Genomic DNA, 17,459 nt, shown 5'->3' with positions numbered 1-17,459 from the left:
ATTGGAGAAGGTGCAGAAACCATTTCAGAGCAGCCTCTGTCTTGCTTCTCTTCTCCATTTCTTTTTTGTCCTTTTCTTTCCTTTTTTCTCCTTTTCTTTTTCCCCAAGGGAAGAGGAGAAAACTAAAGAAAAGGGTTTGGGCCAGATAGTTCAAAATAGAAACGAGATGGCAGGGAACGCATTCTTACAACTTTCCTGCACCAGAAACCAGGCTCCAGCACAATGCATGAGGCCAGGATGAAGCCACTGAGGTGTTAGGATTAGACTAAGGAATCCTGCAACCAGCAACAACGTTTCCTCAGGTGCTGGAGAGCAGAGGAGTGGCCTGTCTTTTAGGGAGCACAGCATGGATTGAAAACCCTGAACCCAGGCCAGGGCGGGCAGGGCGTTTGGCACAGGTGAGCGCCTGGCTCTTACATGAACCCCAAAAGGAAGCAGCATGATCCTCATGTTTCCGGTGAGGAGACCATGAGGAGATGCAGTCACCTCCTCAGGCCGCCCTGCTAGTTGGCGTTGAGGACAGGCTGCGCACCTCCCCGCTCTGTGGGCAGGTGTGCTCAGCCTTGCCAGGTTGTTACACAGTTTCCAAGACATTGCAACATTGTTGCTATCAAGTAACAGTGAGATAAAGAGGACTGCCCTGCAAGCTACCACAGCCAGAGGCTGGGTTCCTTCTAAATGGTGGGGGAGTGAGAAGCCTGTGGGCCATGGAGCTCTGGGAAGCTTCCAGAACATCAGGCTTGAGGTGGGTCTCCATCAGTATTGAGTGGGTGGGGAAGAGCCATGGGGAATGGCACAGACAAGGTACGGGGTGGTGTGGGAGGCACAGGTGTGTTTGAGGGCTGAGGGTCTGTTCACGTGGTAGAGACGTGGGGGATGCGGCTGGAAAGTGAGGGGCCAGGAACTTAGTCTGGCAGGAGGCAGTTTTCGGTAAGCAGAGGGGAGGGAGACAGTGAAGGTTGTGGAAGGATAGTGGAAACAAACAGAGCAGGCGCCTTCCACACTCCAGTCAGGAAGTGCAGACTGGGGGCTCCAGGGATGCCCCCATCCAACCCCTCAGCCTCAGAGGAGGACGGAGCTGCAAAGGAGGAATACCTCTCCAGGTCCCACAGCCAGGGAAGTGCTGTGGTCCCCACACTCCCTTCAGCTGCCCGCCAGGGACCACTAGCCCTACGTGGGTTTTTCAATTTAAATTAATTAAAATGAAATGAAAATGTCTGCTTCTCAGCCGCCCTGGCCACATTCATGTGTTCCACTGCCACGTGTGCCAGTGACTACTGTCGGGATGTGCCAGGTCTAGGACATTCCCACCGCTGCGGAAAACTGCGCTGCTTCTCCTGTGGCTGCTTCTGCCACGTGGCCTTGAAGGAAACCCACGCTCCAGGGAGGCTGGGCATTGCCTGCCCCTGGACCCCAGTCGGAGTCCCCCCTGGTGGCTGCCTGGGCCTCAGCCACGGCCCCTGAGCAGCTTCCAGCATCCCGAAGGCTCTGCCCCAGGTCCGAGGCCATTCCACGGTCGCTCCCTGCTTCCTCTCCTCCTCCGCTCCCCTTGCTTGTGTCCTTGGCAATGCCCTGCCCCAGTTTCTGCCCCAGAGCCGCTGGCCAGAAATGGCTGAGGTTCGTAGCTGGAGGAAGTGGGCCTGGGCTGACGAGGTGGCACCACTTTGTCCTGGAACATCCCGCCCCTTGGCCTGGGTTCCGCTTGGGAAACAGGCGAGGTTCGAAAGGTGAGTTTTTAGAATTGTCCAATGGCAAGCTGTGACAGTTGTGTGTACCCTGGAGCTCATCCCACCGTGGAAAACTCTGGGAATGTCTGTCTCCACAGTCCTCGGCAAGCGGCCCCAATAGTGGCATTGTTTCAAGCTTTTGGAATATTGTTTTTGGGAAATAAAGTGACTCCTGCTCATTTAGCTGTGCCAACTCACTTGTTTGTCTTATTCTTTTTGCTCAGCAGGTGGCATTTTTGTTCAGTGATTTTATTTGTATCCGCCCGTGTTCATCAACTATGACATATTAATCATGCAAATTAGGATATGATTAATGAAGGAAAAATTAATTCCGCCACTGCATCTGGGTCTGCTGTGACAGCTTAGTGAATGCCCTCATTCTCTGATGCCATCAGCAACTTCTCCAGGGCCGCTGCCGATTGATATATTAATGTTTAGGGTAAAGGTTAGGGACCGAAGCCCAGAGAGACTTTCCTCTCCAGGGCTGGTGTTACAAGCACATATTTGCCTGACAGTGCACATTTTTGAGACAGCGTGTTGCTAAACCCCGTCCTCCTTCCCACTGTGTGAACAGTTTGTAGGAGGAGGGAGTTCGCTCTGTCTTTCGGTGTCTTCTAGACTGAAGCCCACTGTGTCCAGGGCAAGCTCCCCGACCAACTCTGACTCTTGCTGTTTCCAAGGTCCCAGCTTCTTGTTTTCCAGATGCTATTTGCAGACCACGCAGTGACCCATTCGTCCTTGGTAAGTGCTCCTTCTCCTCAGGACTCTGCTCTGGAAACATGAGCTAGGGCTGCAATAAGTTTATCTTCATGATACAGAGTCCTGCAGATAATTTAAATGAGTGCCCCACATCATTTTCTCCCATTGCCCTCTGGTTAACCCTGATTTCCACCCCGCACCCGGAGCTGAGCCGTGATCTGCTTATTCCTATCTGCTTTCACTCATGTGCTCCGGTAAGTCAGGTCCACAAACAGAATGTTTTCTTGGAACTTGGATAACCTTGCCCTGTGCACCATGGGAACACCCCCTGGGAGAGATTGTGCCATTCCGGAGACTCCCTAGGTCACACTACCTCTGTCAGAGGACTTGGCTGGACCTGAGAGAGCGAGTGGGCAGTGGAGGTAGGATACAAGGTGCTCCATCAGGGAGGGGACCAGGAGGACATGTGGTCACCAGAGACCATGGAATCGCAGCCTGTGTTCACGTTGGGTCGACTGTGGATCCAAGCCTGTCCAGGGATTGCAATTTACCTCTGCCCCACCCTGAGGCCATGGAACGGAGAGGCACAAGACCGGCAGCTGAGAGTTTGCTAAGCCACCTGCCTTCTGGAGTCTCTTCACCTTTCTTTTGTTTGTTTTGTTTTTGTTTTTTTTGAGATGGAGTCTCACTCTGTCACGTGGGCTGGAGTGCAGTGTCATGATCTCGGCTCACCTCAGCCTCCACCTCCCAGGTTCTAGCGATTCTCTGCCTCAGCCTCCTGAGTAGCTGGGACTACAGGCCTGTGCCACCATGCCCAGCTAATTTTTGTATTTTTAGTAGGTTTCACCATGTTGGTCAGGCTGGTCTTGAACGCCTGACCTCAAGTGATCTACCTGCCTCGGCCTCCAAAAATGCTGGGATTACAGGTGTGAGCCACCAAGCCCAGCTTCTTCACCCTCCTTTTGATATTTTTGTGACTTCTGTTGCTGAGATGCTCTGAGCCTGGGTCCCCACCTTTTGACTTCCCTCTTGTATAGATTCATCCTAATTCTTTCTTTCCCACTAGCATCCCACCCCTTCCCTCCCATGCCTATTTATCCTGTGCCATCTGCCTTCCAGTGCCCCAGGGCAGGTGGTGGAGAGAGATGGATTGCAAACAAGAGACCTAACCCCAGTCCAGGAGAGGGAGAGGATGCTGGGAGCTTGTCATGGGAGCCACAAAGCACCACAGACCAGCAGGTTAAACAACAGGATGGACAGCCCCACAGTTCTGGAGGCTGGAAGTCCGAGACCAGGTCAAGATCCTCAGTGTTGACTCCTTTGGAGGCAGTGAGGGGGAATTGGCCCCAGGCCTCTCTCCCTGGTGGGCTGCTGACCATCTTTGGCCCCTTGGCTTAGCGATGGCCTTTTTCCTGTGTCTTGTTCTTGGTCTTCCCTCCATATGCACCCTTTTCTCTCCACAGGGTATTCTTTTCATAAGGAGCAGTCAGATTAGGGGATGCATTCCTCCAGGATGACCCTTCTTAGCTAATTACACCTGCATGGCCCTATTTCCAAGTAAAGTCACCTTCTGAGGTGCTGGAGGCCAGGGCTTCATCATAGGAATGTGGAGAGGAGGAGACACCATTCAGCCCCAAACAGGGCAAAGGTCGAACAAGGGGAGAGCAGCTGGTGACAGGAGCCCTTGGGCTCTGACAGCTCCCATTCCGCCCACCTGTAAGGGGCTCCTTCCATTGTGGGGTTGCGACTCTTATGGCAGCCCTTCCTCCTGCTGGAGAAAACTGTACTGATGGGTCTGCGGGGTCTCTGACTCAGGACACCTCCATGCTGCACTTCTTTATTGTTTGTTTGTTTGTTTGTTTGAGATGGAGTCTCGCTGTGTCACCCAGCCTGGAGTGCAGTGGCAGGATCTCGGCTCACTGCAACCTCCACCTCCTGGGCTTAAGTGATCCTCCTGCCTCAGCCTCCCAAGTAGCTGGGATTACAGGCACCCACCAACATGCCCGAATAATTTTTGTATTTTTAGTAAAAACAGGGTTTCACCATGTTGGCCAGGCTGGTCTTGAACTCGTGACCTCAGGTGATCTGCCCACCGTGGCCTCCCAAAGTGCTGGGATTACAGGTGTGAGCCACCGCACCTGGCCACCTCTCTGCTGTACTTCTAAGGAGCTGGAAGGCTGGGTAAGGGTGGCCCCAGCCGCTACCCCCTCCCTGGAGGGTTTTGAGACCCTGAAAGACACAGGCCGTGGCTGTGCAATGGAAAGAAACCATGTCACAGTCATCTTACCTTCGTTACCTGAGAAAAGCCTACATCAGCGACTGTTCTCTCTTGGGTGCAAATAGAAGAAATACAACCTAATTCATGTTGGTAGCAGGGGAAATTTATTGGAAAATTGATGCAACTCCAGGGAAGGCAGGGACACAGCTGCCTCCAGGAACAGCAGGGCCTCCCTTCCCCTCCCTGTCCTTGCTGTCCCAGAGGTGGCTGGGGGAATCTTTAAGGAATCTTGAATCTTGAGGTTGAGTTCCTTCCATGTTCTTTAGGATAGAGACTGGAACAGCGCCCAATTATCCCCTGGGTGTTAGAACAACAGCCCAACACTACTGCACCCGTCCTGAGTGGAGGGAACCTCTCCTGGGTTTCCTCACATTCTCCTCAGCACCCGGGCGACACTGAACCACGGGGCTCCCAGGGCCCTTTACTCACTGTCTTTCAGGTTACTGCCAGGACATTTCAGCTGCTGTGGACGTGGAAGGAAAACGTGTCACTGGGGAATGAGAGGTGACCCGGCCACTTCTGGCTGAGTGAATTAGGGCAAGATGCATCCCCTTCGACCCCTGGAGAGTCAAGCTTGAAGGTCTTGCAGGGTTTGTGGGTGGGTTAAAACCATGTAACACCTGGTATGGGCTGAATCGCATCTCCTCAAATCTGTCTGTGGAAATCCTAATCCCCAGGACCTCAGAATGTATTTGGAGATGGGGTCTTCCAAGAGGCGACTGAGTTAAGTTGGGGTCATATGCGTGGACCTTAGTGCAATATGCAAAGGGCAGGTTAGACACAGACACACGCAGTGGGAAGACCTGTGAGGATGCAGGGAGAGGATGCCATCTACCAGCTGAAGAAGGAGGGGATGGGGTTTGACTGTGTCACCACCCAAATCTCACCTTGAATTGTAATAATCTCCATGCGTCAAGGTTGGGGCCAGGTGGAGATGACTGAATCATGGGGCTGCTTCACCCATGCTGTTCTCATGGTAGTGAATCAGTCTCTCGAGATCTGATGGTTTTATAAAGGGGAGTTCCCCCGGCACAAGCTCTCTTGCCTACCACCATGGAAGACGTGTCTTTGCCCCTCGTTCACCTTCTGCCATGATTGTGAGGCCTTCCCAGACATGTGGAACGGTGAGTCCATTAAACCTCTTTCTTTTATAAATTACCCAGTCTCAAGAATGTCTTTATTAGCAGCATGAAAACCGACTGATGAATACAGGAGGCCTCAGAGGGCAGCAACCCTGCTAGACTTGGTCTTGAACTTCCAGCCTCCAGAACATGAGAGAATGAACTTCTTGTGTGAGTCCCCAGTCTGTGGGACGTTGTTATGGAGGCTGAGCTGATGTGTGCGACCCCTGAAGCCCTATCCTCACCCTGTGAAGCACACGGCAGGCTCGGGAGATGTCCATAGTGGGCCAGCCATCCTCACGGAGCACCGGCACCTTGGGCATGGACACTGTGTCCCTGCTATATCAGGTCTGCGAGAGACCCAGAGCAGCTGGGCTCAGTGTCTCCAGCCTCGTTGCTCACCACCTCTTCCAACCCTGGGCTCTGGTCAGATTTGTCGTCCTGGCCTAGTTTCAATCATGTCCCCTCAGAGAAGCTGCCCCATGCACAGGGTCTCCAGAGCCAGGTGAGATGCCCTCAGGGACGCACATTCTCCCTATGCCCACAGTTCTGAGGCCTCACTGTGTGTTTCTTTTCTTTTCTGGTCTGTCTTCCCACTATGCGAGAAGCTGCCTGAAGGCAGGAACCTTCCCGACTGTCCTGCCTGTAGGGTCCCCCACAAAGAGGGCCCCTGGCAGGTAAGAGGGTCTGGGACGTGCTTATGGATGGACACAGAGCCCAGGCAGCACCGGGTGTCCAGCCCTGAGCTGAGGACATCTGGGGCCCTGGACTGCCAGTCACTTTTCTGGGTCTTTGATCCCTTCATCGGGAAACACGGAGTTCTTGGGGAGCTCTGTGAGGCCCCATGGGACAGAGACATTGATGTCATAAGGCAGCACATGCTGCTGAGCTGTGAGGGTGAGCAGGTGAATAGCACCCGGGCCAGCCTGCGGGACAGCCCCAGCATGGGGCAGTCCCAACGTGGCCCTGAGGACAGGGGACCACTGAGGAGATGGAGAGGAAGGGCCCCTGTCCGGGAGCCTCACCCCAGATTGGAGCTGGGCCTGGGAAGGTGTCCTGAGCCCCTCAGCCCCTCGCTGGGTGGCTCAGGAACTCACTGCTCATCTCTGGTTTCTGAGCAGTTTACAGAGAATTGCTAATGGGTTTATGAATCATGGGAAACAGAGAATGCTTTTTTATTTTTCTGCTACTGACCTCTCAAAAGAAATTTCCAGATGCCTCATATAAGTCAATTCCATATAATCGAGTCAAGAATTTCACGACTGTGACTCAGCATTTAAATCTCCTAAAGGCAGATATTTAACCCAAAGACAGAGAGCTTCACTTCACAGGATTCACACTATGCTGAAGATTCTGGGGTGTGCAGTACATGTGCCTGTGTGCGTTCCTCTTTGAGCAAGAGTCAACATGTAACTGGCAATCTTTGAACAAGATGCTAACAGGTCCACCATGCTCTGTGTCAATTAAGAAACAAAACTGAAGATGTCCCTGGTACTCCACTGGCTGTGGAATCAAGGTGACACTCCCTAGGGGGGCATACATCCCTTAGGTCTCTCCGGAACATTCCAGTCATGCTAAGCTTCCAGATATTTTACACGTGGAATATACATCTTATTCGTCCCGCCTCCGCTTAGCCTTCCATCTGCCCGCAGCACCTTGTCGCAACTCCACTTGCTAAAGATCTCGTGTTCTTCTTGACCCAGTTCCAATACCATCATTTCTGTGCATCTGCAACTGCCAGGGGCCTGTGTTCCTACGCCCTGCGGAAGGGTGTCCAGCGATCACACTCCCTCCACACACTCTTGTCTTTTCCAAGGCTTCAATGCCATCTTTCGCAGCGTCTGCAGTCTACAAGCCTGGAACTCCGGACTTGACTCTGTAACTAACGGTGCGTCTCCACTTGATATCCAAAGGCCTCTTCAACTGTACAAAACAGAAGCCCGACTTTCCCTAGGTTCTCATGTCCAAGTAAATGGCACTGCCTTTTGCCCAGTTGCTCAGGCAGCACCTGAAAAGCATCATTTATTTACTCTTCAATGCCCCCCCATGCTGCATATCCAAACCAAGCAGCAGGACTGTCTCTTTCTTCAAAACACACCTGGATGGGGCCTCTCCTCGCCGTGCTAAGCCCCTGGGCATCACTCTCACCTGGAGTGTGCAGACAGCCTCTGGTGGGCTCCCTGCTGCAGCCGTTCCCGTCCTCTATTGCACAGAGCAGCCAGTGAGCTTGGAACACAAATCAGGGCCTAACACTGCTCTGCCCTAAGCCCCAAGCTCTCTCTTGGCCTCCCAGCTTCCCCAGAACAAATCCCAAAGCCTCGGCGTGGGCGATGGGCCCACACCACGCAGCCCCACCTGCTCCCCAGACGTGACAAGGTTGGCATCGCCTGTGCATGTGGGTTTCCCTCTGCCTAGAACCCTCGTTCCCTGCCATTAAAAATGGCTTTATTCACATTATTTGATTCTAGCTAGCTCCAAAGCCATTTACTCAGTGAGGGTCTCCCACCCGCTCACGCACTCACCTCACCTTATTTTTTTCTTCCACACCACTGATTACCATCTGCAATTGAATGAAATTATTTACTAAATCTTATTTTATATTGTCATACTTCCTTAGCGGATAAAAACTCAAAACTACGAAAGCAATGACTTTGCCTTGAGTGTTGTTCTACACCCAGGTGATCAGAACACAGAAGCCTTTGATAAATTTGTGCTGAAACAAGTCACGTCATTAGTGCCTGAAATCAGGAAACTGCCTGCAGGAGCCTCTGTTCCTGGCATACACTTGGTGCTCAACACATGCTCGTTAAATACATGAACAGATACCTAAATAACATCATTCACTTTTTTCCCTTCTCATTGAATGAGATGGTTTAGTGGTGTCCCCACCCAAATCTCATCTTGAACTCTAGTTCCCATAATCCCCACGCATGGTGGGAAGGACCCAGTGGAAGGTAATTGAATCATGGGGGCAGATACCCTCATGCTGTTCTCATGATACTGAGTGAGTTCTCACGAGATCTGATGGTTTTATAAGGCGCTTTCCCCTCATTCGCTCTGCATTTCTTGCTGCCACCACGTGAAGAAGGATATGTTTGCTTCCCCTTCCGTCATGATCGTAAGTTTCCTGAGGCCTTCCCAGCCCTGCAGAACTGTGAGTCAGTTAAGCCTCTTTCCTTTATAAACTACCCTATCTTGGGAATTTCTTCCTAGCAGTGTGAGAATGGACTAATACATCAAGGTTTTCAAAAGAGCTCTACCCACAGATCTTTTAAATTCCATTCTTTTCCTTTGGCTTCATAAATGAGCGAGCTTTCTTAAGGCTTATTATCAAGAGTGGCTTTCACATTTTAGGAGCACATTAGGTCTCTGAAGCCTTGTAATTTTCTTTTAAGTCACATGAAAAAGATCTTTACTTCCAAGGAGACACCTGGCTATGCCCGGGCCTTTGGATTTGAGGGCTCATCCTGCACTTTCAGAGTGGGTGAGAAAATGGGGCTCACCCCCTCACTGCTTCAGCCTCCAAGTGTCCAAAGCTTAAATGGACGGATGGGGCCCTCCCTCTCAGGCCTCATTATAGAAGGCAAATTAGCCCCCATGATGGAGGCGGGCAGAGGACATCATGAGCTTACCCAGACCTGCAGAGGCAATGGGCTGGGGATGTTCTCTCCCTAAGAACAGAGATGCTTTTGAGGATGAGCTGATGCAGGCAGGGGTGGCACTCTACGCAGATGGCAGAATAGTGCCGGCCCCTGGGATGGGTGAGAGGAGGGAGCATCCAGGAGCTGGGCCTGCAGAGGGAGGGATGGAGAGGCCTTGGGCCCTGCTGAGGGTTTGAACTTGATCCTGAGGCCATCGAGGGCTGCAGGAGGGCTTTAAACAGAAAATAATTATATGGTAAGATGTAACCGTTAGAAAGTTATAGATGGCTGGGGTAACTACACGGATGGCAACAGACAAGAAGCTGGAAACTGCTGGGAAGCTTTTGGGTGATCTGGGTGAGGAGGGAAGGGTGCTGCGCTGGGGATGGGGGAGGACTGCAGCCGCTGGGGTGGAGATGCAGGACTTGGGACCAGCTGGGTGGCAGTGAGTCAGGATGGCCCACCCCTGGCCTGGCCACTAGGAGCATGGAGGTGCCATCCAAGAGTGAGACATGCGGAGAAGGGGCAAGTCTGGAGGGAGAGATGAGTGCAGCTTTGTTTTTTAAGATTTTTGGTAAAATACACATGAGAAAATTTCCCATCTGAATCATTTTCAGCTCTACAGTTGAGTATACTTGCATTGTTCTGCACTGGCTCTCTAGGGCTTTCTCGTCGCCAAAGTAAGCCCTGTCCTGCTTCAACACTAGCTCCCCATTCCTCTCTGCCAGCCCTGACACCCACCCTGACACCCACCCCTCTACTTCCTGTCTCCATGGGTTGACTGTTCCAGGGGCCCGTAGTGGGATTACACAGTGCTAGTCCCGTGGCTGGTTCCCTCCACTCGGTGTAACAACTCCAAGCCTCTTCCGTGTTGTGCTGTGTGTCCGAATTTCCTTCCTTTTTAAGGCTGAATAATCCGTTGTTCCACGTGGGTGGGGCACACTGTGTTTATTCCTCATTGGCTGATGGACATGTGGGTTGCCTCCACCCTTGGCTGCTGTGGATGGTGCTGCTGTGACATGGCTGGGCATACTCCTCGAGTCCCTGCTTTCAGTCCTTTGGGGGATAGACCCAGAAGTGGAACTGAGGGGTCACATGGCACTTCTGTGTTGGGAGCAGGCCCCCCAAAATCTGGCCATAAACTGGCCCCAAAACTGGCCATAAACAAAATCTCTGCAGCACTGTGACATGTTCATAATGGCCCTAAAGCCCAAGCTAGAAGCTTGTCTATTTACGGGGATGAGGGCAAGGAACACTTGGCCCGCCCAGGGTGGAAAACCACTTAAAGGCATTCTTAAGCCACAAACAATAGCATGAGCGATTTCTGCCTTAAGGACGTGCTCCTGCTGCAGTTAACTAGCCCAGCCTGTTCCTTTAATTTGACCCATCCCTTCGTTTCCCATAAGGGATACTATTAGTTAATTTAACATCTATAGAAACAATGCTAATGACTGGTTTGCTGTTAATAAATACATGGGTAAATCTCTGTTCAGGGCTCTCAGCTCTGAAGGCTGTGAGACCCCTGATTTCCCAACTCACACCTCTATATTTCTGTGTGTGTGTCTTTAATTCCTCTAGTACTGCTGGGTTAGGGTCTCCCTGACCTAGCTGGTCTCAGCAAGTGGCGTCCATCGTGGGGACTCAAATCCAGGTCGAAGGGTTGCCAGAACAATGGTTGGAGTGGAAAACTAGCTGGAGGACACTCGAGTACTCTTAAAGCAATCCCTGTGGTGAGTAAGAAGGGGAGCTCAGAAGCATCAGGGTAACAATGGGACAGATGTGGGGTCTGGTTCGTTTCACCTTGGAACTTTTTCACACTGATGATGAGGAAGGAGAGTATAGTGAAGTAACAGAAGGGGTTACAGAGCATGTTTATTTACCAGCTAAAGCTAAAGCAGCAAAGGAAGGAGAGGTTCATCCCTACCCTTCTGCACTCCCTCCTTACTACTTTGAAGAAAAAGACCCTCCAGATCTTTCTTTTCTGGAGGACACTGGGCGAAAAGTAGTTGCCCCAGTGACTGTTTGAGCAGTGCCTTGAGTGACCACTCTTAGTTCTATTCAGGCAGGAATTCAGCAAGCTAAATGAGAGGGTGATTTCGAGGCTTGGCAGTTCCCTGTTAGAATACACCCCCCAGATCAATGGGAAATATAGCTACATTTGAGCCTTTTCCTTTTAAATTACTCAAAGAATTTAAACAAGCTATAAATCAGTATGGACCAGGTTCTCCTTTGGTAATGGGACAGTTAAAGAATGTTGCTGTTTCCAATAGGATGATTCCTACTGATGAGGACGCTCTTACTTGAGCTTGTCTAACTCCTGCTCATTTCTTACAATTTAAAACTTCGTGGGCAGATGAAGCTTCCATTCAGGCTGCTCACAATGCCCAGGCCCAACCTCGAATTAATATAGCTGCAGACCAGCTTTTAGGGGTTGGCGGCTGGGCTGGTTTCGATGCATAACTGGTCATGCAGGATGATGCCATAGAACACCTTAGAGGAGTGTGCATTAGAGCTGGGGAAAAAATCACTTCAGGTGGGAAACAATACCCTTCCTTTAGTGCTATAAAACAGGGACCAAGAAAACCATATGTTGATTTTATAGCTCGGTTACAGGAGTCTCTTGAAAAGATGATTGCAGATTCGGCTGCTCAGGATATAGTGCTGCAGTTATTAGCTTTCGACAATGCTAATCCCGATTGCCAGGCTGCTCTGTGACCTATCAGAGAGAAAGCACATTTAGTTGATTATATCAAGGCCTGTGATGGTATTGGAGGTAATCTGCATAAAGCTACTTTGATGGCACAGGCAATGGCAGGACTGAGAGTGGATAAGGAAAATACTCCATTTCCTGGAGCTTGTTTTAACTGTGGGAAGCATGGTCATACTAAAAAAGAATGTAGAAAAAATCAGCAAGTCAGTCTGCCAGATAGGGGAAAAAGAAAACTGCTGATCCTGAAATAGGTCCAAAATGTAAAAAAGGAAAACATTGGGCTAATGAGTGTCACTCTAAGTTTGATAAAGAAGGGAACTCGATTTCAGGAAATGCTATGAGGGGCCCGTCCCAGGCTCCATTCTAAACCGGGGCATTTCCAGCTCAGGCCATTCTCTCAACCCTGTACAATGTCTGTCCCCCGCCACAGCCGGTAGTGCCGCAGTAGATTTATGCTGCACAAAAGCTGTGAGTCTTCTGCCTGGGGAACCCCTGCAAAAGGTCCCAACAGGAGTCTGTGGACCCTTGCCAGCGGGGACAATAGGATTAGTTTTAGGAAGGCCTAGTTTAAGTTTAAAAGGGGTACAAATACATACAGGAGTCATTGATTCAGATTACAATGGGGAAATTCAAATTGTTATATCTACTTCTGTTCCCTGGAAAGCAAAGCCAGGAGAGCGCATAGCACAGCTCCTAATTTTGCCGTATGTGAAAATGGGGAAAAGTGAAATTAAACAAACAGGTGGATTTGGAAGCACAAATAAACAAGGCAACGCGGCTTATTGGGTAAATCAAATTACTGATAAACGTCCTACCTGTGAAATAACTATTCAGGGAAAGAAATTTAAAGGTTTGGTAGATACAGGAGCGGACATTTCAATCCTTTCTCTACAGCACTGGCCGTCTGCGTGGCCAATTCCACCCACTCAATTTAACATAGTTGGAGTTGGTAAAGCCCCTGAAGTATATCAAAGTAGTTATGTTTTGCATTGTGAAGGGCCCGATGGACAATCTGGGACTATTCAACCAATTATAACTTCTGTACCTATAAATTTATGGGGAAGGGATTTATTACAACAATGGGGAACACAAGTTCTAATTCCAGAACAATTATATAGCCCTCAAAGTCAACATATGATGCATGAAATGGGGTATGTCCCTGGCATGGGAACAGGAAAAAATTTGCAAGGTTTGAAGGAACCGCTTCAAGTGGAAAAACAAAGTTCCCGCCAAAGATTAGGATATCATTTTTGATGGTGGCCATTGTTAAGCCTCCAGAACCTATACCTTTAAAATGGTTAACAGATAAGCCAATTTGGATAGAACAGTGGCCGCTAAGCAAAGAGAAACTGGAGGCTTTAGAGAAATTAGTTACCGAACAATTAGAAAATGGGCACATAGCTCCAACATTTTCCCCTTGGAATTCTCCAGTTTTCCTAACTAAGAAAAAATCAGGTAAATGGAGAATGTTAACTGACTTAAGAGCCATTAATTCAGTTACACAACCTATGGGAGCATTACAGCCAGGATTGCCTTCTCCTACTATAATTCCAAAAAATTGGCCTTTAATAGTCATAGATTTAAAAGACAGTTTCTTTACTATCTCTTTAGCTGAGCAAGACTGTGAAGGGTTTGCATTTACAATTCCTGCAGTAAACAACCTGCAGCCTGCTAAGCATTTTCATTGTTTCACAGATGGGTCTAGTAATGGTAAAGCTTCCTATTCTGGCTCGAAAAGTAAAGTTTTCCAGATGCCCTATACTTCAGCTCAAAAAGCAGAGCTTGTAGCTGTAATTGAGGTATTGACTGCTTTTGATATGCCTATTAATGTGATTTCTGATTCTTCATACGTGGTTCATTCCACACAGTTAATTGAAAGTGCTCAGTTACGATTTCATACAGATGAACAACTGATGACTTTATTTACCCAACTGCCAAGAGCAGTTAGAAGTAGAATGCACCCTTTTTACATCACTCACATTAGGTCTCGTACACCTTTTCCAGGACCTTTGGCTGAAGGGAATCAAATGGCTGACCGCCTAATTGCTAATGCAATCTCAAATGCTAGACACTTTCACAATTTAACCCATGTGAATGCCTCTGGTCTCAAACGCAGATGCAGTATTACCTGGAAAGAAGCTAAAGCTATTATCCAGCGATGCCCAACTTGCCAAATGGCCCATTCTTCATCTTTTACAGGAGGAGTTAATCCTCGAGGATTGGAACCTAACTCTGTTTGGCAAATGGATGTCACACATCTTCCCTCGTTTGGGAGACTAGCTTATGTACATGTATGTGTGGACACCTTTTCTCACTTTGGGCTACAGGCCAATCAGGAGAGCCTTCTGCCTGTGTTAAATGTCACCTCTTGCAGTGTTTTGCAGTGATGGGCATTCCAGCTTCTATTAAAACAGATAATGCCCCAGGCTATCCTAGCCAAACTCTAGCTACATTTTTCTCTTTGTGGAATATTAAACACATTACTGGTATCCCATACAATTCTCAAGGACAAGCCATAGTGGAAAGAATGTATCTTTCCCTAAAACAGCAGTTGCAAAAGCAGAAAGGGGGAGACAGAGTATATGGAACCCCATAGATGCAACTGAACCTAGCATTATTAACTTTAAATTTTTTGAGCCTGCCCAAAGACCAGATGTTATCAGCAGCTGAACAGCATTTACAGAAACCAGCTGCAAAGACAAAAGCGGAACAACTGGTTTGGTGGAGAGATCCAATTACAAAACGTTGGGAAATAGGTAAAATAATAACTTGGGGTAGAGGTTATGCTTGTGTTTCTCCAGGCCAAAATCAACAGCCGATTTGGATACCATCAAGACACCTGAAACCTTATCATGAGCCAGATGCAGAGGAAGAGATTCCAGGAGGATCCCGAGGACCCCCGGTTGCAGCCATGTCAAGACTGACGCTGCGGAGGACCCCAACTGTCACGAGCAACACCCATCGAACACAGCCACCCACCTGGGGACAGAACAGGAAGCTGTCACAGATGGCGGAAGAAAACCTGAGGAAAGCGGGACAACCAGTCACAATGAATAATTTAATGATAGCTCTGATAGCGGTTATCACCACCGCCGTGAGTATTCCTTCAATAAGGGCTTACACAGAGAACAGTTCTACTTATTTATCCATCTTGGCTGGCAATAATGACTGGATGCAATCACTCTGACAGTTACACATGCTTTCTGATCTCAGTATTCACCATAATAAATCTGCTCTTATAATTGACACACACCACCCTCAAAAACCTATTTGTAAACAGGATTGGAACCAGTTAGAAAAAATGAGCGTACTTGTTTGGAAGATTGCATTGCAGAACAGGCAGAGGTGCTGCACAACGATTCCTGCGGAATCATTATTAATTGGTCCCCCAAGGGGATGTTTAGCTTGAACTGCACCTCTCAGTCTGCGTGCCACGGCCACACTATGTTCAGATGATCTGAACAAAACGGTCAGATGGTAGAAATGGTAAGAAGTACGGCAAGAGTTCCTATTATCTGGAACCATGGCGGTATAGTGGCACCTCAACCTCAAATGATATGGGCTGCTCTAGGAGCTTAACATAAGGATTTAAAATGAAAAGAACAAATATTTAAAGCATCCCAGGCACACCTGACCTTAATTCCAGAACCTGGAGTGCTCAAAGGAGCTGAAAATGGAGAAAAAACACTTGGAAGCTCTGTGATTTCAAAGATGATTGTGCTTTTAATCTGTGTTGTTTGTCTTTGTATAGTCTGCAGATGTGGATCCTGACTCCTGCAAGAAGTAGCTCACCGTGACAAAGCTGCCTTTGCTTTTATCGATTTGCAAATCAGAGAAGGGGGACATATTGGGAGCAGGCCCCCCAAAATCTGGCCATAAACTGGCCCCAAAACTGGACTGGCCATAAACTGGCCCCAAAACTGGACTGGCCATAAACAAAATCTCTGCAGCACTGTAACATGTTCATAATGGCCCCTAATGCCCAGGCTGGAAGGTTGTGGGTTTACAGGGATGAGGGCGAGGAACACCTGGCCCACCCAGGGTGGAAAACCGCTTAAAGGCATTCTTAAGCCAAACAATAGCATGAGTGATCTGTGACTTAAGGACATGCTCCTGCTGCAGTTAACTAGCCCAACCTATTCCTTTAATTCGGTCCATCCCTTCGTTTCCCGTAAGGGATACTTTTAGTTAATTTAACATCTATAGAAACAATGCTGATGACTGGTTTGCTGTTAATAAACACGTGGGTAAATCTCTGTTCGGGCCTCTCAGCTCTGAAGGCTGTGAAACCCCTGATTTCCCACTTCCCACGTCTATATTTCTGTGAGTATGTCTTTAATTCCTCCAGCACCGCTGGGTTAGGGTCTCCCCGACCGAGCTAGTTTTGACACTTCTGTTTCTAAGTTTTGTGGGAACCACCGTCCTGAGCCTAGTTTCTGACATGTGAAGCTGAGGTCTCTGTGGATGGCACATATGAATGTGGAGCTGAGAGACTAGCATGGGCAGGAAGAACGGGGGCAGGGCCTGGGCCTGTTACTATTCATGGGGAGACACCCCTTGGCCCTGCCCTGGGCCCTTTCAGCCTTCACTTGTCTCCTGGACTCTTGGCCCCGCAAGTCACCCCAGACACCACCGAGGTGATCTGGTCTTGGGAGCCCTGGGGCACAGCACACAGTATGTGCCTCAGGCCCCAGGTGCTGGCTGCTTCTGCCCCGTGCTCACTGCTGCTGCGGATTTGGGATGCACCCAGCACTCTTCAGTGGTGCTACTGAAGAGTCCCAGGAGTGGGCCTTGGACTAAGGATGGTGAGGAGCTCTCCTCCCTTTGTCCTTTTGATGGGCCACCTTGGGCCTCAGTAGCTCATGGGGGCTCTCAGCCCTGTGAGAGGGCACAGCCAGCTGTGTTTGGAGCCCTCAGTGGCCGGTTGGGGACCCCGACTCTGCATACTTGCCTAATCAGCCTCCTGGCCTTCCCCACCCCTCCTTGGGACTCCCCAGTGGGCAGCAGAGAGAAGCTCGGGCTCAGGCTCTGCTTTCAGGGAATCAGTGAAGACAGAGCCAGGAGGAGAGCAGGTGGCAAAACAGGACAAGAAGCCAGAGAGACTCAGTCATAGAGGAGACCGCCCTCAGGGAGGGTGCCTGGCTGTGTCTCATGCCACCGAGAAGGCACATTAGAGAGGTGCCCAGCAGCACCCTGGCTCCCTTGGGGGGAAGATTTGCAGGGACAGGAAATCAGAGACGGGAGGAAGCCAGCCCTTGAGGGGAGTTTCTGGAGGATTGGCTG

The 17,459-nt window shown here is 49.6% G+C and overlaps 1 long non-coding RNA gene across 4 annotated transcripts; it reads left to right on the top strand.

The window, feature by feature from the left end:
• Positions 1 to 654: 654 nt before the first annotated feature.
• Positions 655 to 16,492, top strand: LOC105375587 (uncharacterized). Of its 4 annotated transcripts, XR_001745437.2 has the most exons (5): positions 655 to 745; positions 1,229 to 2,848; positions 11,045 to 11,196; positions 14,978 to 15,270; positions 15,928 to 16,492. It is a non-coding gene; the product is annotated as an uncharacterized LOC105375587 (long non-coding RNA). The 4 variants fall into 4 exon arrangements; XR_001745438.2 differs by lacking the exon at positions 655 to 745 and having other exon boundaries at positions 2,327 to 2,468; XR_007060608.1 differs by lacking the exon at positions 655 to 745 and having other exon boundaries at positions 2,327 to 2,468; positions 5,892 to 11,196.
• The last annotated feature ends 967 nt before the right edge of the window (positions 16,493 to 17,459 follow it).

Source organism: Homo sapiens, chromosome 7 (genome assembly GCF_000001405.40).
Source record: "Homo sapiens chromosome 7, GRCh38.p14 Primary Assembly".
Lineage (NCBI taxonomy): Eukaryota > Metazoa > Chordata > Mammalia > Primates > Hominidae > Homo > Homo sapiens.
The sequence above is the reverse complement of the archived record's forward strand: the minus strand, read 5'-3'. Positions and strand labels throughout refer to the sequence as shown.